This window comes from Homo sapiens, chromosome 2 (assembly GCF_000001405.40).
Source record: "Homo sapiens chromosome 2, GRCh38.p14 Primary Assembly".
In the NCBI taxonomy this organism is placed as follows: domain Eukaryota; kingdom Metazoa; phylum Chordata; class Mammalia; order Primates; family Hominidae; genus Homo; species Homo sapiens.
The window spans coordinates 38,337,026-38,362,737 of record NC_000002.12 but is presented as its reverse complement, the minus strand read 5'-3'; the positions used below and the strand labels follow the sequence as shown (position 1 = coordinate 38,362,737).

Genomic DNA, 25,712 nt, shown 5'->3' with positions numbered 1-25,712 from the left:
GGCAGGATTTTTGTTGTTGTTCTTAATTTTGTTTTACTACTGAATCTGTAGTTCTCAGAACTGTGTTGTAGGTGTTCAGTGACTATTGAAAGAATAAAGATTTATGCACCTCCAGTTCTAGACCTTTCACCCCTTGTGTCAGAATTAGCATGGTGCTGGTTAGTGGGGTGCTTGTTAAAAATGTAGATTTCTGGACTCCATGGATCAGCTGAATCAGACTCTGGAGGTGGGGTCTAAGAATCTGTATTCTGAGCCAGTTACCCAGATGGTTCTTAAACTCTAGTGGGTGTGAGACTCACTGTTGTACGGTGTGGCTGTGGCTAATTAAATATTGACAGTATTAACTCAGTCATAGGCCCATGATAAATAATTGAATTACAAATGTGTTGACCATTCTTTAGTAAGCAGTTTTTTGCCCCGTGATATGTCTGGTAAGGAAGGGTTATGTGTATTTGTAATTGTGATTATTTTGGTTGCTCTAGTTTTTTCCTAAACATCTAGTTTAATCTGGAACTTTAGGGAGCTAGAAATCTCAAATACCAGATGTTAGCGAATCCACCTTTCCCAAGCAAAAACAAGCCCTTTAAACCTATTCTTATTCTGCGCTTGTAGTTTTTTACTCATAAGAGTCGATTAGCTAATACTAGGGATTTATTTTAAATGATAAGCATCATTATGTGGACTGATTTGAGTCTCCTTTCTATGGCTGTATCACTGGGGAACAGTGATTGATCTGTTTAAGAATTATCCTATAACATCGAATAGCAGTTTGGTATAGTGGAAACAGCATGGGTTTAAAAGATAGAAATCTTGATGCATGCATTACCTTTTAACTGTAGAATCTTAAATAATTTTTAAAAAAACATCTTCGAAGATCCACATTTCCTCTCTGTGAAATGGGACTAATAGCTAAGTTACTGGGTTGTTGAGAGGATTATTTCATTGAGTCATTTCAGTAAAGGTAAGTTTTCTTGCCTGTCTGTGGAAGTAAATTTTGAGGCAAATTAAAATGTTTCATTAAAAACAATTGTAATGTATTTCAAACTTACAAAAATGACAGAGAAAGATAAAATAGATACCCAAGTAGCCATTGCATTAATCTAATACATAATATTTGCCATATTGATTTTGAATCCTTTTTAAAAGAGAAAATGTTACTGTGCAGTTGAATGGTTCACCCAATAACCTTTCTCTTTTACCCTTTCTTCGTAGATATGCACCTGTCCTGAAAGTGGTGTATGCTTTCTGGTTTTTAAATAGCTTATAACATTTGTATATTTCATAAATAATATACAGTATTGTGTTGTGTTTAAAACATGGTGAGTGGTTCAGACTGTATTTTGTAGCTTGATTTAATTTAAATTTTTTTTTTTTTTTTTTTTTTGAGACGGAGTCTTGCTCTGTCACCCAGGCTGGCGTGCAGTGGCGCGATCTCGGCTCGCTGCAGGCTCCACCTCCCGGGTTCATGCCATTCTTCTGCCTCAGCCTCCCTAGTAGCTGGGACTACAGGTGTGTGCCACCACGCCTGGCTAATTTTTTGTATTTTTTAGTAGAGATGGGGTTTCACCACGTTAGCCAGGATGGTCTCGATCTCCTGACCTCGTGATCCACCTGCCTCGGCCTCCCAAAGTGCTGGGATTACAGGCATGAGCCACCGCGCCTGGCTGCTTGATTTAATTTTTTTCATTCCACGTTGGTGTGGAAGCTTATCCATATGTAAATATTTAGATCTTATGCATTAATTTCAATTCTCTGACTTATTTTTTATTTATCCATGGGTATTTAGGTTGTTCCAATTTTTTTTTTTGTAGTTACCAACAATACTTTGGTGAACAAGGAACCATGTTTCGTTCTTCTTGTATATGTATGCAGGAATTTCTCTAGGATATAAACAACTTACCTAAAAAATATTAAAGTAAGAAAGTTTCAATATTGTGTACTCTCATTCTTTAAAAATCTGGTCCACATAACAAAAGTATGTTCTCCCTCATTTCCCCCCAAAAAAGTACCTAAGAGCCCGTCTAAGACCCTTTTTTTTGGTCTTGACTTGAGGTGAGATTTTCTTCAAGACTTCTCTGTAGAAGAAAATGAAGAGACTTGCAGAACCTGAATAAAATGTCTGAATTTCTGTCTTGTTGATTATAGAGTTCCCCGAGGCTGGGTGTGGTGGCCCACTCCTGGAATCCCAGCACTTTGGGGAGGCTGAGGCAGGAGGATCCCTTTAGTCCAGGAGTTTGAGACCAGCCTGGGCAACATAGTGAGACCTGGTCTCTACAAAAACTAAATTAGTTGACTGTGGTAGTGCATGCCTGTGGTCCCAGCTACTCAGAAAGCTGAGATGGGAGGATGTCTTGAGCCTTGGGGGTCAAGGCCACAGTGAGCTGTGATTGTGCCACTGTACTGCAGCCTGGGCATCAGAGCAAGACCCCATCTCAAAACAAATAAGCAAAACACCCAAAATCTTAAAAAAAAAAAAAAGAATCCCCTGAGCCATCGCTTATTCTAGAATCTCCTGACTAGCTAACAAAGTTGACTTCCTAAATTTTAACGTCATTTAAAATACCAAATTTAAATTTACTTTAGTATTCTTTTTTTTTTTTTTTTTTTTTGAAATGGAGCCTTGCTCTGCCCAGGCTAGAGTACAGTGGACGACGATCTCATCTCACTGCAACCTCTACCTCCCAGGTTCAAGTGATTCTCGTGTCTCAGCCTCCCAAGTAGCTGGGATTACAGGCATCTGCCACCACGCCCAGCTATTTTTTTGGTATTTTTAGTAGAGACGGGGTTTCACCATATTGGCCAGGCTGGTTTTGAACTCCTGACCCCAAGTGATCCACCTGCCTCGGCCTCCCAAAGGGCTAGGATTACAGGCGTGAGCCACCGCGCCCGGCCAACTTTAGTATTTTTTTTAAGTACACTTACATATTCAGGTGTATGCTTTTAAGAACTGGGTAATATTTGATGACAAACTTTGGGGAAAAATACTTTTGAGTTTATACATTTATAAACCATTTTACATTTTTCTTCGTCTATTTTAATAAATGCATAAAAGTATTTTTTGCCTTAGTGTTCTTTAAGTGGGAACAGCAAAAATTCTGTGACATCAGTGGTAGTTACTATGGAAACGGGGTACATTTCAAGTGGAAAATAGTATGTGAATCCTATAGGAAAAACAACTCTTTGTTTCCTGATTTAATAGTAATGAAGGAAGGAGATGAATGGTATTATATACTCTTTAAAGCATTTTTTTTTTTTTTTTTGAGATGGAGTCTGGTTCTGTCACTGAGGCTGGAGTGCAATGGCGGGATCTTGTCTCACTGCAACCTCCCTCTCCCGGGCTCTGGGGTTCAAGTGATTCTTCTGCCTCAGCCTCCCAAATAGCTGGGATTACAGGCGTGTGGCACCACGCCTGGCTAATTTTTGTATTTTTAGTGGAGACAGGGTTTCACCATGTTGGCCAGGCTGGTCTGGAACGCCTGACCTCAGGTGATCCACCCACCTCGGCCTCCCAAAGTGCTAGGATTACAGGCGTGAGCCACTGCAGCTGCCCTCTTTAAAGCATTTTTAAAAGTCTATTTTAGGATGGTCTTTTGTTGTTGGCTAGAAAGGGACAAGTCTAAGGGAGAAAATATTTGATAACTGAAATTGTTAATAAGTCGTTTCCTGGAGTCTTTAAAATTTTTGTTTTTGTAATTTGCATTGTAGTTCTAATTTTATATGAGAGAAATATGAGTTTATAAGTTCTTAATGTTTTACAGGACCAGATTATAAGTTAAAATATTTTCTTGTAGTATCTGTTTGACTAGTAGCTGTTTTTTTCCTTCAAAAAAAATTTATCGAAGTCCAAGTTTGTGTCTTTGTCAGTACTTGTAATACTTGTATCCCAGGCTGCAATAGTCTTGTGGGGGAGACCCAGCACTGTTATAAAAGCTCACCCAGGTGATTGGATGAGCTAGACTAATAGTTTAATAGAGCTAAACTAGCTGATAGTTTTCAATCCTAGCCGTATATCATGTTAACGTTTTAAAATAATTTTTTTTTTTTTTCAGACGGAGTCTCGCTCTGTCGCCCAGGCTGGGGTGCAGTGGCACGGTCTCGGCTCACTGCAAGCTCCGCCTCTTGGGTCCACGCCATTCTCCGGCCTCAGCCTCCTGAGTATCTGGGACTACAGGCGCCTGCCACCGTGTCCGGCTTACTTTTTTTGTATTTTTAATAGAGACGGGGTTTCCCTGTGGTCTCGATCTCCTGACCTCGTGATCCGCCCGCCTTGGCCTCCCAAAGTGCTGGGATTACAGGTGTGAGCCACCGCGCCCAGCCATTTTAAAATAATTTCTATAGCTTTTTCCTTTTTTAAGTAGAGATTGTTTTATGTACCTCGACTTTTTTGAACTTTGGTATATCAAACCCTTGATAGCAACCCTGGAGTGGTTAGTTGTATCACAGTATTAGCAGTCTCCCAGGAAAAATAGAGCATTACAGTTTAGCTTGAAAACTTTTTTTCTTCCTTGAAAATTTTATTTTAATATTGTTAGAAACTACATGAAATAGAATTAAATGAATGACACTTACATCCTAAACACTTGTGAAATAGAGTGACCCTTGTTAGTCCATATATCCTGAGGACCAGCAATTTTGGCATCATCTTGGATTGATAATAATGCAGTTTCAAGCTCAATCCCAGTTTTATTGAATCAGGATATGCATTTTAACAAGATACTCAGGTGATGTGTATTCATGTTAAGCTTGACTAGCACTGCTGTGGAGGAAATAACACTAAATAAGACCTGGCCTTGATTTCCCCCCAAACAGTGGTTTAATTGTATGTTTTTCTTATTTTTAAAATGAGTAAATTGGGCTGCATAATCTATAAAGCCTGTGGGAGTGATGTAATAGTTTTAATTTTAAGTATTGAGGCTAATTTTTAAGCATATGTACTAGAACTTGAATGTTGTCATGTATCTTGATATATATTCTAGGGTGTATATGTATGTTCTATTAATGCCTAAAACCTTGTAGTTCTTGGAAAATGCTTTTCCTCCCCAATATAAAAAAGTATCTCTAGAGGTTTTTTTTTTTTTTTTTTTTTGAGACGGAGTCTTGCTCTGTCACGCAGGCTGGAGTGCAGTGGTGCGATCTTGGCTCACTGCAAGCTCCGCCTCCCGGGTTCAAGCGATTCTTCTGCCTCAGCCTCCTGAATAGCTGGGACTACAGGTGTGCCACCACGCCCAGCTAATTTTTGTATTTTTAGTAGAGATGAGGTTTCACCATGCTACTTCTTTTTTTTTTTTCCTTAATCCCAAATGTGATAGGAAACATTTCTGACTGAGGGTTCTGTAGGAAGTAAATCATAAGTATATTAAACAAACATATATATAGTAACTATAAACTTTTTATTTTATTTATTTATTTTTGAGACGGAGTCTTCCTCTGTTGCCAGGCTGGAGTGCAGTGGCGTGATCTTGGCTCTCTGCAACCTCTGCCTCCTGGGTTCAAGTAATTGTCCTGCCTCAGCCTCTCAAGTAGCTGGGATTACAGGCACCCACCACCATGCCCAGCTAATTTTTGTATTTTTAGTAGAGACAGGGTTTCACCATGTTGGCCAGGATGGTCTCGATCTCCTGACCTCATGATCCACCTGCCTCGGCCTCCCAAAGTGCTAGGATTACAGATGTGAGCCACCGCACCCAGCCGGCTAAACCTTTTAAATTAGATTTCCAGCATTAAATTATGTACTGTATACAAGGTACTCCAGTTTACAGCAAACACAAAGTTTTTTGAATTAAAAAACCTGTCGTAAAATACTGTTTAAACATCTGATTTAGTGTAGAATTAAAGGGACTTTAGGGTGGTAATTTAAACATTTCTTTAAAACTATCTAGATTGTGAATAGACCGTTCATACAAGAGGAAACATGTATAGAAATGGTTGTTAGTGAAAGAAATGAGTATTAAAGCAGTTTGAATGGTGTGACTGAAGAACTTAATTTTCAGTTTTATTTAATTTTATTTACATTAACAGTTTTGTTAGTATGGATACAAATATGAGTGGAAAATGATTAATATTTGATTTGGTTATACTGGAAAACTTTGTTGGAACAACTTTTATACATGTCTACTTTTTCAGTTGTAAGTTTTATGAAATTAAATGATTATGTGTTTCTGATAAGCATTTAGTGTCTAAGTTGAAATGTGCTGTAGGTGTAAAATACACAGCAGATTTAGAAGACTGTATGTAAAGTAATAATGGGCCAGGCGTGGTGGCTCATGCCTGTAATCCCAGCACTTTGGGAGGCTGAGTGAGGTGGGTGGATCACTTGAGCCCAGGAGTTCGAGACCAGCCTGGGCAACATGGTGAAACCCTATCTCTACAAAAAATTTAAAAAAAAATTAGCTGGCTCACGCTTGTAGTCCCAACTACTTGGGAGGCTGAGGGAGGAGAATTGCTTGAGCCGAGATCGCACCATTGCACTCCAGCCTGGTCGATGAGAGTGAAACCCTGTCTCAAAAAAAAGAAAAAAGAAAGAAAAGTAAAAAATACTGAGTAGGTTGAAATGCTAATATTTTGGGTTAGTAAATAAAAATATTATTTAAATGATTTTTTTTAAATGTGACTTAGAAAACTTAAAATTACATATGTGGCTAATTTTTCTTGTGGGTAGGGTTGTCTATTCTATATTCTTAATAGTAATTTTTTGTTTTCTTATTATATTGATTACTTAGAGTTGTTAAACTCTCCAAATGTGGCCAGGCATGGTGGCTCATGCCTGTAATCCCAGCACTTTGGGAGGGCGAGGTGGTGGGTGGATCATTGAGGTCAGGAGTTCAAGACCAGCCTGGCCAAAATGGTGAAACCTGTCTCTACTAAAAATACAAAAATTAGGCGTGGTGGTGCGTGCCTGTAATCCCAACTACTCAGGAGGCTGAGGCAGGAGAATTGCTTGTACCTGCAAGACGGGGGTTGCAGTGAGCCGAGATGGCACCACTGCACTCCAGCCTGGGTGACAGAGCGAGACTCAAAGAAAAAAAAAAAAAAAAGAACCAAACAAATGTGACTATGCATTTATCTGTTTTTCTTTTTAGTTCTCTGAATTTTTGCTTCGTGTATTTTGAGTTTCTTACTTGGCATTGTTATGTCTTTCTGATGAGTACACATTTTATATGTGGTATGCTTTTAGTCTTGAAGCCAGCTTTGATGTTTATGTAGCTACTTTAGCTTTCTTATGATTAATGTCTGTATAGTATACCTTTTCCCCTTTTACTTTGAAACTTTACTTGAACCAAGCTCTGTCTTTTTATTAAAAGGACATCTCTAATATACAGTATGGCCAGGCGCAGTGGCTCACGCCTGTAATCCCAGCACTTTGGGAGGCCGATGAGGGAGGTCAGAAGTTCAAGACCAGCCTGACCAATGTGATGAAACCCTGTCTCTACTAAAAATACAGAAGTTAGCTGGGCATGGTGGAGGGCGACTGTAATCTCAGCTACTCGGGAGGCTGAGACAGGAGAATTGCTTGAACCCAGGAGGCGGAGGTTGTAGTGAGCTGAGATCGTGCCATTGCACTCCAGCCTGGGCAACAAGAGCGAAACTCCATCTCAAAAACAACAAAGAAATACAGTATATAGTTTTGCTTTTATTACCCAGTCTGGCAGTCTCTGCGTTTTTATTGGAGTGTTTAGTGTATTTATATTTGATGTAATTATTGAATTTAGTTGGGTTTAAGGTTGCCATCTTGCGTGTTTTTCATTCATCTCTTTTGTCTTTTGTTCTTATTTTTTACTTTGGGTTCATTGAATATTTTTTACTATTTTATTTTGGTTTCTTATTGGCTTTTTTTGGTTTTTGTTTTTGAGAAAGAGTTTCGCTCTTCTTACCCAGGTTGGAGTGCAATGGCACAATCTCGGCTCACTGCAACCTCCGCCTCCTGGGTTAAAGGGATTCTCCTGCCTCAGCTTCCCGAGTAACTGGGATTACAGGGATGTGCCACCACACCTGGCTAATTTTTGTATTTTTAGTAGAGACAGGGTTTCTCCATGTTGGTCAGGCTGGTCTCGAACTCTCAACCTCAGGTGATTCTCCTGCCTTGGCCTTCCAAAGTGCTGGGATTACAGACGTGAGCCACCACACCTGGCCCCTTATTGGCTTTTTAAGCTATACCTTTTTTCTTTTTGTTTGTTTTAAAGCCGTTACTCTAGGGCTAATGATATTCATCTTTAATATATCTGCCTATTTAGAATCAATGTTTTACCACTTTCCACTTTAAAATCATAACCTTAGGGTGTAATTTCATTTACTTTGCCTCATAACATGTCTTTTAAAATTTTGTACTTCTACATACTTTATAAACCCCACATTGATCAATTATCTTTTAGGGAGATTAGTTGGAAGAAAGAACCAGTCTTTTATATTTGTATCTGTTTACTATTTTGGATTCAGATCAATAGGAAGGAATAAAGAGACTTTCCATTTGATAATGTTTCATTTCAGCCTGAAGAACATTATATAGCTCTCATGTAATGCACATCTGCTAATGACAGATACTCTTTGCTTTTTTTTGAGACAGAGTCTTGCTCTGTCGCCAGGTTGGAGTGCAGTGGCACGATCTTCGCTTACTGCAACCTCCCGGGTTCAAGTGATTCCTCTGCCTCAGCCTCCCAAGTAGCTGGGATTACAGGTGCGTGCCACCACGCCGGCTAATTTTTTGTATTTTCATAGAGACGGGGTTTCACCATGTTGGCCAGGATGGTCTCGATCTCCTGACCTCTCGTGATCTGCCCACCTTGGCCGCCCAAAGTGCTGGGATTACAGGCGTGAGCCACCGCACCCGGCCATACTTTTGCTTTTGCTGTCTTTATTTTGCTTTCATTTTTGAATGATCGTTTCACTGAATATAAAAGTCTAGGTTGACACTTCTTTTAAAAACACTCTAAAGCTATCAATCCCTTGTCTTCTGGCCTCCAGTGCTTCAGTGATGATGTGATAAGCAGCAGTTATTTGAATTATTCTGCTCTGTATAATTGTATAATTATTACATAACTATACAATAATTACTTGAATATTCTGCTCTGTGTCCTGTTATCTTTGGTTTTTGGTTTTTAGCAGTCTGGCTGATGTGGTTTTCTTTGTATTACCGTACTGGAGGTTTGCTGAGCTTTTTGGACCTGTAAATCTCTGTCATCAAATTTTGGTAACATTATGACTATTGCTTCTTCAAATATTTTTTCAGCTCCAGCCTCACTTTGTTCTCCTTCTGGGATTCTAAATGCAGGTTGGATAGTGTTCCATAGGTTCGTGAGACTCTCTTAGTTTTTCTTTATTCTTTTTTCTCTCTGTACTTCAGATTAGAAAATCTCTTTTGATCTCTTTGCAAGTTTACAAACTTTCTTCTGTTACCTACAGTCTGCTGTTGTCCATCCAGTGAGTATTTCATTTTAATTACTGTACTTGTCAGTTCTAGAATTTTCATTTGTTTTTTAATAGTTTCTATAGTTTTTTGGCTGAGACTCCTCATCTATTTATTTATTAAGACTTTATTTTCCTGTAAGTCCTTGAACGTATTTACAGTATCTGGTTAAAAGCATTTGTCTGCTAAATTCAGCATCTGGGTCATGGCAGAATTGGTACTGTTAACTGCTTTTCTTTCTTGACTATGGGCTACATTTCCTTCTTTCTTTGTATGTCTAGTAATTTCTGATTTATATACTGTATATTAAATGTTATGCATTGTAGAGATTTTGGATTCTCTTAGCTTGTTTTTGGTTTGGCAAGCAGGTTAATTACTGATGGATCTTGACCTTGGCTTTGCTTCATACTTCGTTAGTGTGGGTCTGTGGAAAGCTTAGAGGAAATCTCCCTAACTTAGTGGGACTAAATTTCCAAACTGTGTACCTTGCAGATCTTTTCAAGTCTTGGTTTTATTTAGGCTTTGATTGGATGGATTGTCAGTAGGCCTTACTCTAGAACTTGACCCTTAATTCTAAGATATGTCGATTCTAGTGTCTCAGCTTGATGCCTAAGGTATAGATGTTTCTTTCCACTCTGGCTGGGCCAGAACTCCAAAGTGTCTCAGTAATGTTTGACTTCTGTTTCTCTCTCAACCCTGTAGTAGCTTCCTTCTGTTAAGCATTGCATAGTGTTGTGTTCCCCTGCACCTGTGATGCTTGTTGTCCTTGTCCAAGGAGTTCTGGGCTCCACCTCTGCATAGATCCTTTTTCTCTGGTATCCTGCCTCACAGATTCCTACTGCTCTAGCAATCTTGAATTCAGATCTTTGTGCTCTAGTTCTTCACTCTATAGTTAGGAAATTGTTCCCAGGCAGAGAGCTGGGAGTGATCATGGCACTCACCTTGAAAGTGTCCTTGTGCTACTTGTTGTCCATTGCTTGAAAAACAATGCTTCATGTATTTTGTCTAATTTTATAGCCACGGTCGAGGGCCAGTCTGATACCAGTTACTCTAATGACTAGAAGTCTCAAATATCCTCCCTCCCCCAAATACCTGTGTTTTAAAAAATGCAAAATAGAATTGGGGGTGATTTTTACTACTTTGTAGTCTGCCCTTTTCCCACTTGATTTTATGGTGGTTTTTTTTTTTTTTTTTTTTTTTTTTTGGTTGTTGTTTTTGTTTGTTTTTGAAACAGAGTTTTGCTCTGTCGCCCAGGCTGGAGTGCAATGGCGCGATCTTGGCTCACTGCAGCCTCCACCCCTGGGTTCAAGCAATTCTCCTGCCTCAGCCTCCCGAGTAGCTGAGATTACAGGGGCCTGCCACCACACCCAGCTAATTTTTGTATTTTTAGTAGAGACAGAGTTTCATCATGTTGGCCAGGCTGGTCTCAAACTCCTGACCTTAGGTGATCTGACTTCCTCGGCCTCCCAGAGTGCTGGGATTACAGACGTGAGCCACTGCACCCGGCCAATTTTATGCTGTTTAAAATAATACATAGATTTTTTTGGCTAGGTGAGGTGGCTCACGCCTGTAATCCCAGCACTTTGGGAGGCGGAGGCGGGTGGATCGCCTGAGGTCAGCAGTCTGAGACCAGCCTGATCAAGGTGAAACCCCATCTCTAGTAAAAATACAAAAGAATTAGCCAGGCGTGGTGGCAGGTGCCTGTTGTCCCAGCTACTCTGGAGGCTGTGACAGAAGAATTGCTTGAACCTGGGAGGTGGAGGTTGTAGTGAGCCGAGATCGTGCCACTGCACTCCAGCCTGGGCAACAGAGCAAAACTCTGTCTCAAAAAAAAAAAAAAATTAAATATATATATGTATAATTTTTTTAGAGTGTAAATGTGTTTTTTAGGCTGCATAATATGTCAGTATATGGCTAAAATAACTGTTCGGCCACTTTCCAGTTTTGAGGTACGCAACATTAATTTTTGCCACCAGAATAAAATTAGTGTCCTTATTTCCTTATAATAAATCCCTAGAAATATATTTAACCATCGTATAACCTCTTTAAGGCTCTTAAAAAATATGTGCTAGAATAAACTTGAATACTTAGATACTGTTTTCACTTGGGTATGAAATATAAATGTTGAGGTTCAAGTACTAGGCACTAACACGTTACTTAGCTTTTGTGGGATAACTAATTTTTTTATAAGTAGACTGAATAGACTGAATCAAGGTTACTTTCCATGAAAATTTGTTTCAAGTTTTTGTTTGGAATGTGAATAATAAAATATACTTTTCATTCCTTTTGAAAGGTGAATTATTCTTTGTTCTCTTTTTATAAGTTTAGTTTTGGGTTGATGTAATCTAACATTAATGCTACATTTTATTATAATGAAGATTTGTAGCACTTTTTTATTATCTTAGTTTATAATTAAGCTTGAAATTTGCTGAGGATCTAGGTCAGCCCTGAAGTGTAAATTTTGCTGTTGGAATACATGCTGAGTGTCTGAATTTGGCAGATTTAAGATAATGTGTGATTAGACAACAAAAAGACAGGTGTCTTATTTAAATAGACTTTTTTGGTTTTTTTTTTTAGAGCAATTTTAGCTTCACAGCAATATGAAGCGAAATTGTAGTTCACGTACTCCCTGCCACTCCATATACACACTGTCCCCCGCCATCAGCGTTTCACCCACAGTGGTGCTTTTGTTAAAATCAATGAACCTTCACTAACACATCATTATCATCCAAAGTCTATAGTTTTACATTATGGTTCACTCTTGGGGTTGTATATTCAATGGTTTTTTTCATAGATGTATAATGACAGGTATCAACCAATTTCGTATTATAGAGAATAGTTTCACTGCCCTAAGAAATCTTCTGTGTTATGCCTGTTCATCCCTCCCTATCCCCCTAACCCCTGGCAATCACAGGTCCTTTTACTAAGACACCTTTCTTTTGTTAGGCCGTGTGGCAAATAGATATTAGGTAGGTACCTTAGTGTTAATGTGTGGAGAGATGTTTGAGAAGCAGGTGATCATCTTTAGGTGTCTTTTAGCTTTGACCTTGAAAGACCCATCTGGGGGCTAGCGTAGGGAAAACTGACTTGGAACTGTGAATCACAAAAATGTGTTGGGGGGCTGAAATCTACTTGTCTTAGTAAATTTTTGGCATTGAAGAATGGAAATAAAATCACTATTCTATACACAGGACGTAACTTCAGTTTAAAATCTTAGAGTGGTGTGGAATTTAGAGACTTTTAATTGTAGGCAATCACTAAATGCTAGTACAGTATTTACAGGTATCCTAATGAAATTTACATACAATTCTCTTTTATTCATTTGCTTATATCAGTGTTTGATGGAGTACTTTATCTGTATTTAGTCCATATTTGGTAGAGAAATCACCATGGGGAGTAAGTAGATAGATGCAGGTGTATCACATCATTGTTAGGCTCCATTATACTTTTGAAATCTATTTGCTACCCTTCTCTGTAAAAGGCTGTAGACTAGATATGGTGACAAATATGTAGACACATTCTGTCTATTTGAAAGGCCTGTCTTTGTCTGTGCTAATAAACTTGGTTGCATAGTGACTGGCCAACTAATATAGGTGAATTTTCGAGTTAACAAAGGTTTTCTGCCCAGTGGGGTTTTTTTTTTCCTATTTTATTTATTTTTTATTATTATACTTTAAGTTTTAGGGTACATGTGCACAATGTGCAGGTTAGTGACATATGTATACATGTGCCATGCTGGTGTGCTGCACCCATTAACTTGTCATTTAGCATTAGGTATACTCCTAATGCTATCCCTCCCCCCTCCCCCCACCCCACAACAGTCCCCAGAGTGTGATGTTCCCCTTCCTGTGTCCGTGTGTTCTCATTGTTCAGTTCCCATCTATGAGTGAGAACATGCGGTGTTTGGTTTTTTGTCCTTGCGATAGTTTACTGAGAATGATGATTTCCAATTTCATCCATGTCCCTACAAAGGACATGAACTCATCATTTTTTATGGCTGCATAGTATTCCATGGTGTATATGTGCCACATTTTCTTAATCCAGTCTATCATTGATGGACGTTTGGGTTGGTTCCAAGTCTTTGCTATTGTGAATAGTGCCACAACGAACATACGTGTGCATGTGTCTTTATAGCAGCATGATTTATAGTCCTTTGGGTATATACCCAGTAATGGGATGACTGGGTCAAATGGTATTTCTAGTTCTAGATCCCTGAGGAATCGCCACACTGACTTCCACAATGGTTGAACTAGTTTACAGTCCCACCAACAGTGTAAAAGTGTTCCTATTTCTCCACATCCTCTCCAGCACCTGTTGTTTCCTGACTTTTTAATGATCGCCATTCTAACTGGTGTGAGATGGTATCTCATTGTGGTTTTGATTTGCGTTTCTCTGATGGCCAGTGATGATGAGCATTTTTTCATGTGTGTTTTGGCTGCATAAATGTCTTCTTTTGAGAAGTGTCTGTTCATATCCTTTGCCCACTTTTTGATGGGGTTGTTTGTTTTTTTCTTGTGAATTTGTTTGAGTTCATTGTAGATTCTGGATATTAGCCCTTTGTCAGATGAGTAGGTTGCGAAAATTTTCTCCCATTTTGTAGGTTGCCTGTTCACTCTGATGGTAGTTTCTTTTGCTGTGCAGAAGCTCTTTAGTTTAATTAGATACCATTTGTCAATTTTGGCTTTTGGGTTTTTTTTTTTTCTTAAACTTCTAAAAAACCAACTAATGCTTTCTTTACAATAAGAGCAAAACTATTGTTTGTTTTAGCAAAATCACCAACCTCCACACTTGGTCATTGTGATATTTTAGCAGTTATTACTTTTGAGTTCTTTTTTAAAGTGTTTTACTTGGTTCATAATTTTTTTTTTTTTGAGATGGAGTTTCGCTCTTGTTGCCCAGGCTGGAGTGCAATGGCGCAATCTTGGCTCACCGCAACCTCCGTTTCCTGGGTTCAAGCAATTCTCCTCCCTCAGCCTCCTGAGTATCTGGGATTACAGGCAAGCAACACCACTCCTGGCTAATTTTGTATTTTTAGTAGAGATGGGGTTTCTCCATGTTGGTCAGGCTGGCCTTAAACTCCTGACTTTAGGTGATCCGCCCTCCTCAGCCTCCCAAATTGTTGGGATTACAGGCGTGAGCCACCGCGCCTAGCCAAGCTTCATAATTTTTATGGAATTTTTGTGTTACGTATACTTAATACTCTTGAGTTGTCGGAGGTATTTCCCCAAGCTATTTGATTATCATATTTGCTTATAAACTAGGTAAGGGCAGGGCCAGGCATAGTGGCTCATGCCTGTAATCCTAGTACTTTGGGAGGCTGAGATGGGTGGATCACCTGAGGTCAGGAGTTTGAGTCCAGCCTGGCCAACATGGGGAAACCTTGTCTCTACTAAAAATACAAAAATTAGCTTGGCGAGGCATTGGGCATCTGTTGTTCCAGCTACTCTGGAGGCTGAGACAGGAGAATGGCTTGAACCCAGGAGGCAGAGGTTGCAGTGAGTCGAGATCTCACCACTGCACTCCAGCCTGGGTGACAGAGCGCTCTGCCTTAAAAAAAAAAAAAAAAAAAAGGTAAGGGCAGATGTAAGACTCCTGAGTAAAATGCTTAAATTTCATTCATTCAGGAAATATTTACAAGGAACCTGCTAGGCTAGGTGTCAGGCACTGTTGTAGGTGCTGGTAGAGAATGGTTAACAGGGTGATTGGGATCCTTACTTTAGTGGCACACTCATTCTGTGGAGTGGGAGATATCAGGTACACATTTAAACGAATGAAAAAAGGTTGTTTTAGGAATTGAAAAAAACTATGAATAAACCTGTTTCATTAAAGTGTTAAGGAAAGGGATCTGTGATTTAGATTGAGTGGTCAGGGAGGGCCATGCTGAGGAGATAACATTTGAGCTGAAGAGCTGGATGATGGAGACATAAGCCATGTGAATTTCTAGGGACAGAGCATTCCAGATAGGGGACAACACAGGACAAAAATTCTAAGGTGGGAAACAGGGTTAGCTTCATCAGGGAACAGCAAGAAGGCCAGATTGTCCAGGCTTTGGGAATGAATAGGAGTGTGTTGTAAGATGACATGTGCTTTATAAGGCCCTCTGCTATGGAGAGGAGGCTGGGCCCAGATCGCATACGACTATAGAAGCCATGGTAAGGTATTTAAGGGCTTTCTTCTTTTGTTTGTCTATTTTCTGCTTATGATGGGAAACTAAGTGGTAAATTGGCAATCCAAGAGGGGAGACATTTAATAAATAAGTACTTACATAAATATTCAAGTGATAGATTAAAATTTGGGGAGTATAGAATGACTAAACTTGGTTGGAAGCCTCAGGGAAGATTCTTGTTCCTGGAAAGTGTCTTTTAAGCTGAGATTTAAGGAGTAAGTGTGAATTTATTAGGAAACAACAAAGGAAAGAGTACTCTAGGCAGAGGAATATTAAAGCAGAGTCTAGAAAGAGCTTAGCAGCATGAGGATCTGATGAAAGGTTAGTTTGGCTACCTAGTTTAAACCTGGGGTTCCCAACCCTAGGGCCGTGGACTGGTACTCGTCCGTGGCCTGTTAGGAACTGGGCCGCACAGCAAGAGGGGAGTAGCAGGCGAGCGAGCATTACTGCCTGAGCTTCGCCTCCTGTCAGACCCATGGTGACATCAGATTCTCATAGGAGCGCGAACCTTATTGTGAACTGCACGTGTGAGGGATCTGGGTTGTGTGCTCCTTATGAGAATCTAACTAATGCCTGATGATCTGAGATGGAACAGTTTTATCCTGAAACCACTGCTCCCCCTTCTGTGGAAAACTTGTCTTTCATGAAACCAGACCCTGGTACCAAGAAGGTTGGGGACCGCTGGTTTAAAGAGAAGAATAGCACCAAAAGAGGCAACAGAGATTGGCGGTGAGTACGGGACCTTATAGAGCATGTGTAGGATTTTAGTCATTAGTCCTCTGTAACAGTGATTTTAAGGAGGGTAACCTGGTCAACTTTACATGTAACTATATTATTTAGTTGCTACTCTGTGGAGATTAGATTGGATTGGGTAAGAGGACAAGAGTATTAATGAAGGGAAACCAGTTAGATGCTACAGTGTGAGGTACTGTGGCAGTGACAAGTGCAGGAATATTATCAATAGAGATTCAGAAATGAAGACAAATTAAGAAGGTGGTTATTGATTAGATTTAGGGGTAAGTAAAAGACACGTAGACGTATCTCTATATGTCAAGGACAGCCAGCAAGTCTGTGCCAGAGCAGATGGGTGGATGGCAGTGTCAGTACGCAGCTACACTGGTCAAGTGAAAATCACCATAGCATTTTGGCATTTCAAGGGGAAAATAAAAGCTTCTCCTGTTGGATTGGTTATTTTGAAATTACTGTTAACTTACACCTATGGTGCTTACTGCGTAGCATACATATTTCAACTCATTGAATCCTGATGACAACCCTATGAGTTAGGTAATGCTATGCCTGTTTGACACACACCCATTTTCCAGATGAGAAAACAGGTGCAGAGAAGTTAAGTGACATGCATCGAGGCAGTTTGCTCCCTACTTCATGGTCTTAAACCACTAATTAAGCTTAGAAACTTATACCGTTTGCATCCTGTTTTGTTATTTATCTGGACCTACCTAATGAGACGTTAATTTAGAATTTAACTGTATTGCAACTTTTCCTGGAAAGTTCACTTTTTGCATGCATTCAAATAGCATACCTGACTATTGCTATATACCATTGATACAGGCAGTGATAATGTCCCCTTTAACTAAATATTGATTGCTTTTACTTTCAAAGATTCTCCTTTGAAGTGGCTTGCTCTTTATAATGCATTGTCATTGTTTTCAGCACATTTTGAAATAGTGCTGTTGACTTTGCTATATACAGTTAAAGGTGCCTCGTGATGTGGAGGTAGAGGCTCTAATAGTCTTTGCAAATCAGATAAGTGAGATGCTTCTTTTGGTAATAAGATTAAAAATCCACTAATGTAGTTATATAATCTTTGCTCTGTGAATATTGGTTATGTGGATAAGGTATTACTGAACTGTTCACTAATAATGTACCACGCCTTAGTGGACTGGCTTTCTCCTCAGAGTAGGACAGTCATTGATTGCATTGAAAACAGTGGATACCGTATGTGTCCTTAGAGTGGAAACTGACACTTAGTAGACAGGCTCAAGGAGGGGATCTCTTAGAAATTTTGATGTGGGAGAAGATAAGGTCCCCAGGAGTAACTAGTTGCTACGTGGGATCAAGCAGTTGGTAGAGAAGAAAGTCAGACAAGGTATGTGTCCTCTGAAGCTAGGTGTTTTTTTTAAAGAAGAACAGAAACCTAGACTTTGGAAGTTTATCTCTGCTATTTACATTCTCTGTACTTCTTCGTCACTATTCAGTAAAGTTATGTCTGCAAAGGTTACCTTATTTTAATGTGTTGTGGTGAACAAAGGAAGGGTTTATATGGCTGTTTTCGGGAGCTATAACAGCTGTAGTGTTTGGTGAGAAAGAGCTCCAGTGGGAGATGAAATTCTGAGATATAAATGCATCTCACTGACTCTTCTTTAATGAAACATTAATCCTGTGCTTTGCTTTAATGAGGAGGCTGTAGTAGTACTAGGTTACTGTTATTAAATTAGGGACTCATTGTAAGTATCATTTTTGGAAACTTGTTAGAACCCTAATTTTCCCCTTTAAGTTTCAGAATGAAAAATAACATGAATAATTTTTTTTTGTTTGTTTTTTGAGACTGAGACTCACTCTGTTGCCCAGGCTGGAATGCAGTGGTGCAATCTCAGCTCACTGCAACCTCTGCCTCCCAGGTTCAAGCGATTCTCCTGTCTCAGCCTCCCAAGTAGCTGGGACTACAGGCGCCCGCTACCATGCCCAGCTAATTTTTGTATTTTTAGTAGAGACGGGGTTTCCCCATGTTGGTCAGGCTGGTCTTGAACTCCTGACCTCAGGTGATCTGCCTGCCTCGGCCTCCCAAAGTGTTGGGATTACACCCACTGCACCCAGCCACATGAACAATTTTAATATATGTTTTTAATGTTTGTAAAGTAGAGTAATGTTTGTGAATTTTCTAGGTGATGCTTACAGGGAAAATTGGGATTTGAAGTATCAGGTGAAATTGATTTTTCCCCTCTTTAGTTTATGTGTGCATACAGTTGGAAAAGTTATTTACAGAATAATACAGGGCTCAGAAACAGGTGCTGTTGACATGAACATTCTCAATGAAGTTAAGACTTCATTGAGATAGAGGCCATATTTAGTATTATTGTTTATCTGTATGTATAATGGTGTATGAGTCCATTTTCATGCTGGTAATAAAGACATACTTGAGACTGGGCAATTTACAAAAGAAAGAGGTTTAATGGAATCAAAGTTTCACGTGGCTGGGGAGGTCTCACAATCATGGCGGAAGGTGAAAGGCACATCTCACATGGTGGCAGATGAGAAGAGAGCTTGTGCAGGGAAACCTCTTATAAAATCATCAAATTTCGTGAGACTTATTCACTATCATGAGAACAGCACAGGAGAGAGCCTCCCCCATGATTCAGTTACCTCCCACTGGGTCCTTCCCACAACATGTGGAAATTGTGGGAGCTACAATTCAAGATGAGATTTGGGTGGGGACACAGCCAACCATATCAAGTGGGAAATCTTATCAGCATTCTTTGTCCTGTCACAGAGGGAGTGAGAAATCCAAAGGAACATTATAATGATCTATAATGGGGGGAGGGGGCAATTACTTACTTGAAATTTTGCTTTAGTTGTGGTCCTTAATGAAAGTTCGTAATATAGGGATTAAAGTAACCAGTTTCTTTCTTTTTAAATTCTAGGTGAGAATTATGAAGATGATGACCTAGTAAATTCTGATGAGGTTATGAAGAAACCATGTCCAGTACAGATTGTTCTTGCTCATGAAGATGACCATAACTTTGAACTTGATGAAGAAGCTTTGGAGCAGATATTGCTACAGGAGCACATACGAGATCTTAACATAGTAGTGGTATCTGTGGCAGGAGCTTTTCGTAAAGGGAAGTCATTTCTACTGGACTTCATGCTTAGATACATGTATAACAAGGTGAATAGTCTTTTAAATTGAACCCAATTAAAAAGAAAAAAGTACCAACCATGCCTGTTAAAAAAATAGACAAAAACCAGAACTATATCTTTTTTTTTTTTTTTTTTTTTTTTTTTTTAATTTAAGTGGTCTCACTCTGTTACCCAGGATGGAGTGCAGTGGTGTGATCACGGCTCACTGCAGCCTCAACCTCCCAATCTCAAGCAATCCTCCCACCTCAGCCTCCCGAGAAGCTAGGACTACAGGCGTGTGCCACCATGCCCAACTCTTAAAAAAACTTTTTTTTTTTTTTTTGTAGCTATGGGGGTCTCACTTTGTTGTCCAGGCTGACAGAACTGCATTTTTAATTCTATAGAAATATAATTCTTTATAGGACTTCCTGGTCAATACAGTAATGTAAGTTTGAGCTCTTGATTCTTCATCGCCATAATTCCCTTCTGCATATACTGCATATGGAAACATATAATTGAGCATCTGTGTTCCAGGCATTGTGGCTCTAACCCAAGTTGTCTGAGTATATCCTAGAAGTCTCTGAAGTACTGTTTATCTTCTTTCCCTTTTTGTTACTTCTTCACACTTTCCTTTTGGCCACCTTTACAGTGAGTAAAGTAGGTGGATAGAGACCTTTGAAAAAGTATATCTGTGTTCCTCAAACAAGTCAGTTTTAGTGACTATTACCTTTGGAGATAAAGTCCAGTTCCTTAGAGTGGCTTCTGCAGCCATCCATGATCTCTGAATCTCATCTCTTGCCCTTCATATGTCAAATAAACTATAGTTTTTGCTGTTCCTTGAGTATGCCATGTTTTTTCCTCAAATATTATGGTATTCTTGGCTCATCTTTTCATGGGGGCCTTCCCTGACATCTAGGACTATATTACATCCTCTTCCTAACTCATGGTACAGGTTGTATGTTTTATTGATATTACTTTAGTTGCTTATTTTTTTCTGGCTACTTTAATCTCTGTCATGGGTGGGCCCTCTGTTGATTATCAAGCACCTGGCACAAGAACTGGGTCTTAGGAGATACTTACATTTTAATTGATGAATCTCTTTCCCTTCTATACATTTTCACTTTGAGATGGTACCAGACAATTGCTACTTACCTATCTCTCCCTGACTCTGACTTTCTCTCCTGAAAAAAAAAAGCAAAAAAAATTTTTTCACTCGAGTTGGAATGTTTTTCTGATAATTGCAAGTTGGACTGAGGGAATGGGAGTTTGAAAGGGAACAGGAGAAGGAATTGGAAATTTTGGAGTGGAGCACTTAGTGGAATTGCTATATAGGGAACTTTTGACATTCAGAAGCCACATGAATTATTAGAAATAATACTTTGACAGAATTAGGTAATTGTCTAAACACCTGTCAGGGTGCTCACCTTTATGAGTTCTGTGACATTTGTAATTGGGTGTGCATTCTCTTCGAGGTAAGAAATAAGGTAAACATTCTCATTTGGTTTTCCAGGAAGCTTTTCAGTAAAGTTTTTTCATGGCGATCATTTCAGGCTTTCTCAAATATACCTGAGTATCAATAGCATAGTTTATATTAGAAAACTTTGTTTTACATGTTTGGGACATTGAGAAAGGTACATCATTTTAAAGTTTGTCTCATTGATTGAGACGTGATCTCACTCTGTCACATAGGCTGGAGTGCGGTGGTGTGAACATGGCTTTTAGTGTCAGTTTAGTAGACTGCAGCCCAACCTCCTCTGCTCAAGTGATCCTCCCACCTCAGCCTCCCAAGTAGCTGGCACTACAGGCATGCACCACAATGCTTGGCTGATTTTTAAATTTTTTGTAAAGATGGGGTTCTCACTATGTTGTCCAGGCTGGTCTTGAACTCCTGGCCTCAAGTGATTCTCCCACCTCAGCGTCCCAACGTGTTGGGATTACAGGTATGAGCCACCATGCTCAGCTAAAGTTTTCCTATTTAGACTTGATCTAGAATTTTACATCTGAAATAGAGAAATGTTTAAGTAGTGGCATATTTTTTAAAAAAACTGTACATTTAAAGATGATAAAGGATTTCTATATTTTGAGGTCCTCTTAAGTCCTTAAGTTAGCTTGTGTATATTGTATCTATCTGTGTCTAAGCTGTTTAGTGCAAATGTATTTTGTTCCAAGTAGGTCACAGACAGTAGAAAGTTAGAAGGGGAGGGAAGCTTAGATCACTTATCTAGGAATGACAGATAAGTTTCACCTCAGGTGCCATTTCTGTTTCCATCTCTGATCAGTTAGTAGTGGCTGTTCAGAGTGGAGTAGCAGCCCCCCATTGCCGTGTATTTGCAATCTCTGCACAAACGGAACTCTCTTTTCCTGGGGGAGTTGCAGAAGCCATGCAAAGGTTATGATGGCTTGAGTGAGGTTATACATCTAGTTAGTGGCTTCTAAGCTGAAATGTCTTTATTGGCTTTCATTTATAGTATTGCCCTATAGAATTCCTGATATAAATCACCTTATTCTGTCAATCAAAAATTGCATTTAAATGGTATCTGATTTTTGGATAATGTGCCTCCACTTAAACTGATCATGTGGTGGGTCATGCTTTTCCTATGAGATGAAAGTAAAGAAGGAGAAATAATGGGGTAGTTGGATTTATTTTATTAACCTGTATGCCTGCACAGGTGGGATGCTAGCTGAAAGAAGTAGAGTAGTGACATACTGACAGTTTAAGTTTTCAGTGTTGACTTGAGTCAATGTATGTAAGTATGCAGTTGATGAAAGTAGTGAGTAGTTTTATAAGAGGAGATTAAAATCTGTAATCAAAGACAGAATTGGTGGGTATGGTTATGGTGTGGGGGATGTTGGCTTTCCCCTCCTAAATAAATGTTACACTCAAGTATTCTATGCCCTGCCCCCCCCACTTCTAATTCTTATTTGCTTATTTAGGGGTGTGCTTTAGATAAATGTATCTTTTCCTTAAAAATTTTTTTCCTTTGAAGTATAATTTACATGCAGAAAAGGTGCACAAATCTTAAGTGTACAGCTTGATGAAATTTTACATAGGTATACACCCTTACTACCACCATCCAGATGAAAATACAGAACAACCCCCACTTTGTGTTCCTTCTCAGTTAATGTCTACCCCCCCCCCCCCCCCACCAAAACTAACTGCTGTTCTGAACTTTTCACCACAGGTTCATTTCACTGTTTTTGAACTTTACGTGAATGAAATCATACCATAGGTATTATGTGTTTGGCTTATTTTGTTAACATTATAACTTTGAGATGTACTCATGTTTTTGCGTTATTTTTGTTGCTTTAATATTCTACTGTATGAGGGCAGGGTGTTGGGGCTCACGCCTGTAATCCCAGCACTTTGGGAGGCCGAGGTGGGTAGATCACCTGAGGTCAGGAGTTCGAGACCAGCTGGGGCAACATGGTGAAAACCCATCTCTACTAAAAATACAAAAATTAGCTGGGCGCGGTGGCATGCACCTGTAATCCCAGTTACTTGGGAGGCTGAGGCAGAGGAATCACTTGAACCTGGGAGGTGGAGGTTGCAGTGAGCCGAGATTGTGCCATCATACTCTAACCTGGGCAACAAGAGAAAAACTCTGTCTCAAAAATAAATAAATAAAATAAAAATAAATATTCTGCTGTATGATTATGCCACATTTTGCTTATCCATTTAACTGTTGATGGGTTTTTGCTTTGATACTACAATTTTTTGTCAGCTGATTTTTTAGAAGTGTTTTTTTCATTTTTAACACAATATTAGAGGTCATATTTTTTTAAGTTTTCAAACACATTTTTTATATTGGAATATAACAAAGAGAGCCTGTATACCTGAATCCTTTACCTAGTTTCTTCTAATGTTATCATTAGTGTGATTCATTTGCAAAACTAAGAAACCAATATTGATTGGTACATTACTATTAACTAAGTCCTTGACTTCGTTCCGGCTTCTGCAGTTTTTCCATTGGTGCTCTTCTTTCTATTCCAGGATCTCTAATACAGAATACGATTCCTAGATTTAGCTGTCATGTCTCCTTAGTTTCTTCTGGTCTGTGAGTTTCTCAGCCTTTCCCTTTTTTCATGATCTTGACTTTTTTTTGAGACGTAGTTTCCCTCGTTGCCCAGGCTGGAGTGCAGTAGCGCAGTCTCGGCTCACTGCAACCTCCGCCTCCTGAGTTCAAGCGATTATCTCGCCTCAGCCTCCTGAGTAGCTGGGATTACAGGTGCCTGCCACCACACACAGCTAATTTTTGTATTTTCAATAGAGATGGGGTTTCACCATGTTGGCTAGGCTGGTCTCAAACTCCTGACCTCAGGTGATTCTGCCCGCCTCAGCCTCCCAAAGTGCTGGTATTAAAGGTGTGAGCCTGGTGATCTTGACTATTTTGAGGCATACTGGTAAGCTATTTTGAAGAACGTTCCTCAATTTAAGTTTGTCTTACATTTCTGTCATGGTTAGACTGGGGTGATGGGATTTTGGAAAGAATACTCCTGAGGTCAAGTACCCTTCTCATCACATTGTATCTGGGGGTATGTATAGTCACGTGGTACTGCTAGGAATGGTACTCTTCACCTGTTGGTTAAGCTAGTGTTTGCCAGGTTTCACCACTGCAGACTTGATATTTTTTAGTCATTAATTCCACCCCAACCTCAAAGAACAGGGAAAGAGGAGGATTAAGCTCTACCTTCTGATAGGAGGAAGACATCTAAATATATTATTTAGGATTCTTCTGTTGGGAAGAGGTGTATCTTCTCCCTATTTATTTATTTATTCATTCCATCCTTTATATCAGTGTGGGCTCATTTATACTTGAGTTACAATCCAAAGTGTTTACTTTAAAAAAATAATTTTAACTTTTATTTTAGAATCAGGGGCTATATGTGCAGGTTTGTTACTAGGGTGTGTTTCCTAATGCTGATGTTTGGGGTACAATTGATCTTGTCACCCAGGTATTGAGCGTAGTAACCAATAGTTTTTCAACCCTTGCCCTCTTCCTCCCTCTCCCCTCTAGTACTCCCCGTTGTCTGTTGTTGCCATCTTTGTGTACGTGAGTACCCTTGTTTAGCTTCTACTTTTAAGTAAAATCGTGGTATTTGGTTTTCTGTTCCTGCATTAATTTGCTTAGGCTAATGGCCTCCAGCAGCATCCATGTTGCTGCAAAGAACATAATTTCATCCTTTTTTATGGCTGCATGATTTTAAACCTTTTCAAAGTGAAATAGATTATTCCAGTGTCTGTAGGAACTGTTAGAAAAATGCTGATTAGATTGTCACGTCTCGCTGTTGTAGTTTGAAATCTAGGAATCAGTTTACAATGGTCAAAACTTAATTTAGTAGAATTATATAATATACATGAAACTAAACACAGTGCTTACGATATTGATGCTAAGTAATGGTGATAGCTATTATTACTAAATTCTCCTAGATAAGGATTCTTAATTCTCTATGGAGTTGCTTCTACTTTTATACCATTTCCTGTTTTTTCTTTGTAAAACTTTATTATGAAGAATTTTATTAATAAATACATGTAAAAGTAGGCAATAATATAATAAATGCCCATATACTAAACAATTTTTAGCACTTATCAATTCCAATCTCATTTCATCTATAATCTAACTCAGTCTACACCTTATATATTATTTTGAAGTAAATCCCTGTGATCAATTAATTTATAAATATTACAGTATGTGTCTCTTAAAAATAAGGACTTTTTTGAACATTACAATAATATAGAAATAATAATCCCTTAATATTAATGTCTTTTAAGTGTTCAATTTTCAAGTTGCCTCAACTGCCTTTTTTTTTTTTTTTTTTTTTTTTTTTTTTTGGAGACAGAGTCTTGTTCTGTCGCCAAGGTTGGAGTGCAGTGATGTGATCTCAGCTCACTGCAACCTCTGCCTCCTGGGTTCAAGCAATTCTCCTGCCTCAGCCTCTCAAGTAGCTGGGTTTACAGGTGCGCACCACGACACCTGGCTAATTTTTGTATTTTTAATAGAGATAGGGGTTTCACCATGTTGGTTAGGCTGGTATGGAACTCCTGACCTCTAATGATCCTCCCACCTCAGCCTCCCAAAGTGTTGGGATTACAGGTGTGAGCCACCATGCCTGGCCACCTCAACTGCTTTTCGTTTTTGTTTTTGTTTTTTTTAATAGTCCACATTGTGATTGGTTGTCTTCAAAGTGTTTTAATGCATTTTAGGTTTCCCTCCCTCCCTCTCTTTTTCTTGGCAATTTATTTGTTGAAGATACTGATTGTTGGTTATAGGGTTTCCCACTCTGGATTTGCAG

At 39.2% G+C, this 25,712-nt stretch overlaps 1 protein-coding gene across 10 annotated transcripts in view, besides 5 other annotated features; it reads left to right on the top strand.

Moving 5' to 3' along the window:
- ATL2 (atlastin GTPase 2) overlaps positions 1-25,712 on the top strand; it is an 84,631-nt gene that overhangs the window by 15,847 nt on the left and 43,072 nt on the right. For 7 of the 10 annotated variants that reach the window (NM_001135673.4, NM_022374.5, NM_001330463.2 and 4 more), the window contains exon 2: positions 19,226-19,470. The exons of the other annotated variants lie outside the window; for them this stretch is intronic. In NM_001135673.4, the coding sequence (NP_001129145.1) occupies positions 19,226-19,470 (245 nt within the window). The remainder of the gene's footprint in view (positions 1-19,225; positions 19,471-25,712) is intronic. 10 annotated transcript variants of the gene reach the window in all.
- Positions 8,214-8,713: an enhancer, noted in NCBI's record as "H3K4me1 hESC enhancer chr2:38581167-38581666 (GRCh37/hg19 assembly coordinates)". NCBI's record gives its function as "activates a minimal SCP1, AML or CMV promoter by ChIP-STARR-seq in naive H9 embryonic stem cells {active_cell/tissue: H9 hESC(naive)}" and the evidence as "EXISTENCE:reporter gene assay evidence [ECO:0000049][PMID:30033119]".
- Positions 8,714-9,215: an enhancer, noted in NCBI's record as "H3K4me1 hESC enhancer chr2:38580665-38581166 (GRCh37/hg19 assembly coordinates)". NCBI's record gives its function as "activates a minimal SCP1, AML or CMV promoter by ChIP-STARR-seq in naive H9 embryonic stem cells {active_cell/tissue: H9 hESC(naive)}" and the evidence as "EXISTENCE:reporter gene assay evidence [ECO:0000049][PMID:30033119]".
- Positions 10,688-11,188: an enhancer, noted in NCBI's record as "H3K4me1 hESC enhancer chr2:38578692-38579192 (GRCh37/hg19 assembly coordinates)". NCBI's record gives its function as "activates a minimal SCP1, AML or CMV promoter by ChIP-STARR-seq in primed H9 embryonic stem cells {active_cell/tissue: H9 hESC(primed)}" and the evidence as "EXISTENCE:reporter gene assay evidence [ECO:0000049][PMID:30033119]".
- Positions 17,445-17,645: a silencer, noted in NCBI's record as "peak3664 fragment used in MPRA reporter construct". NCBI's record gives its function as "represses an SCP1 promoter by STARR-seq MPRAs in K562 erythroleukemia cells {active_cell/tissue: K562}" and the evidence as "EXISTENCE:reporter gene assay evidence [ECO:0000049][PMID:32103011]".
- Positions 19,305-19,505: a silencer, noted in NCBI's record as "peak3663 fragment used in MPRA reporter construct". NCBI's record gives its function as "represses an SCP1 promoter by STARR-seq MPRAs in K562 erythroleukemia cells {active_cell/tissue: K562}" and the evidence as "EXISTENCE:reporter gene assay evidence [ECO:0000049][PMID:32103011]".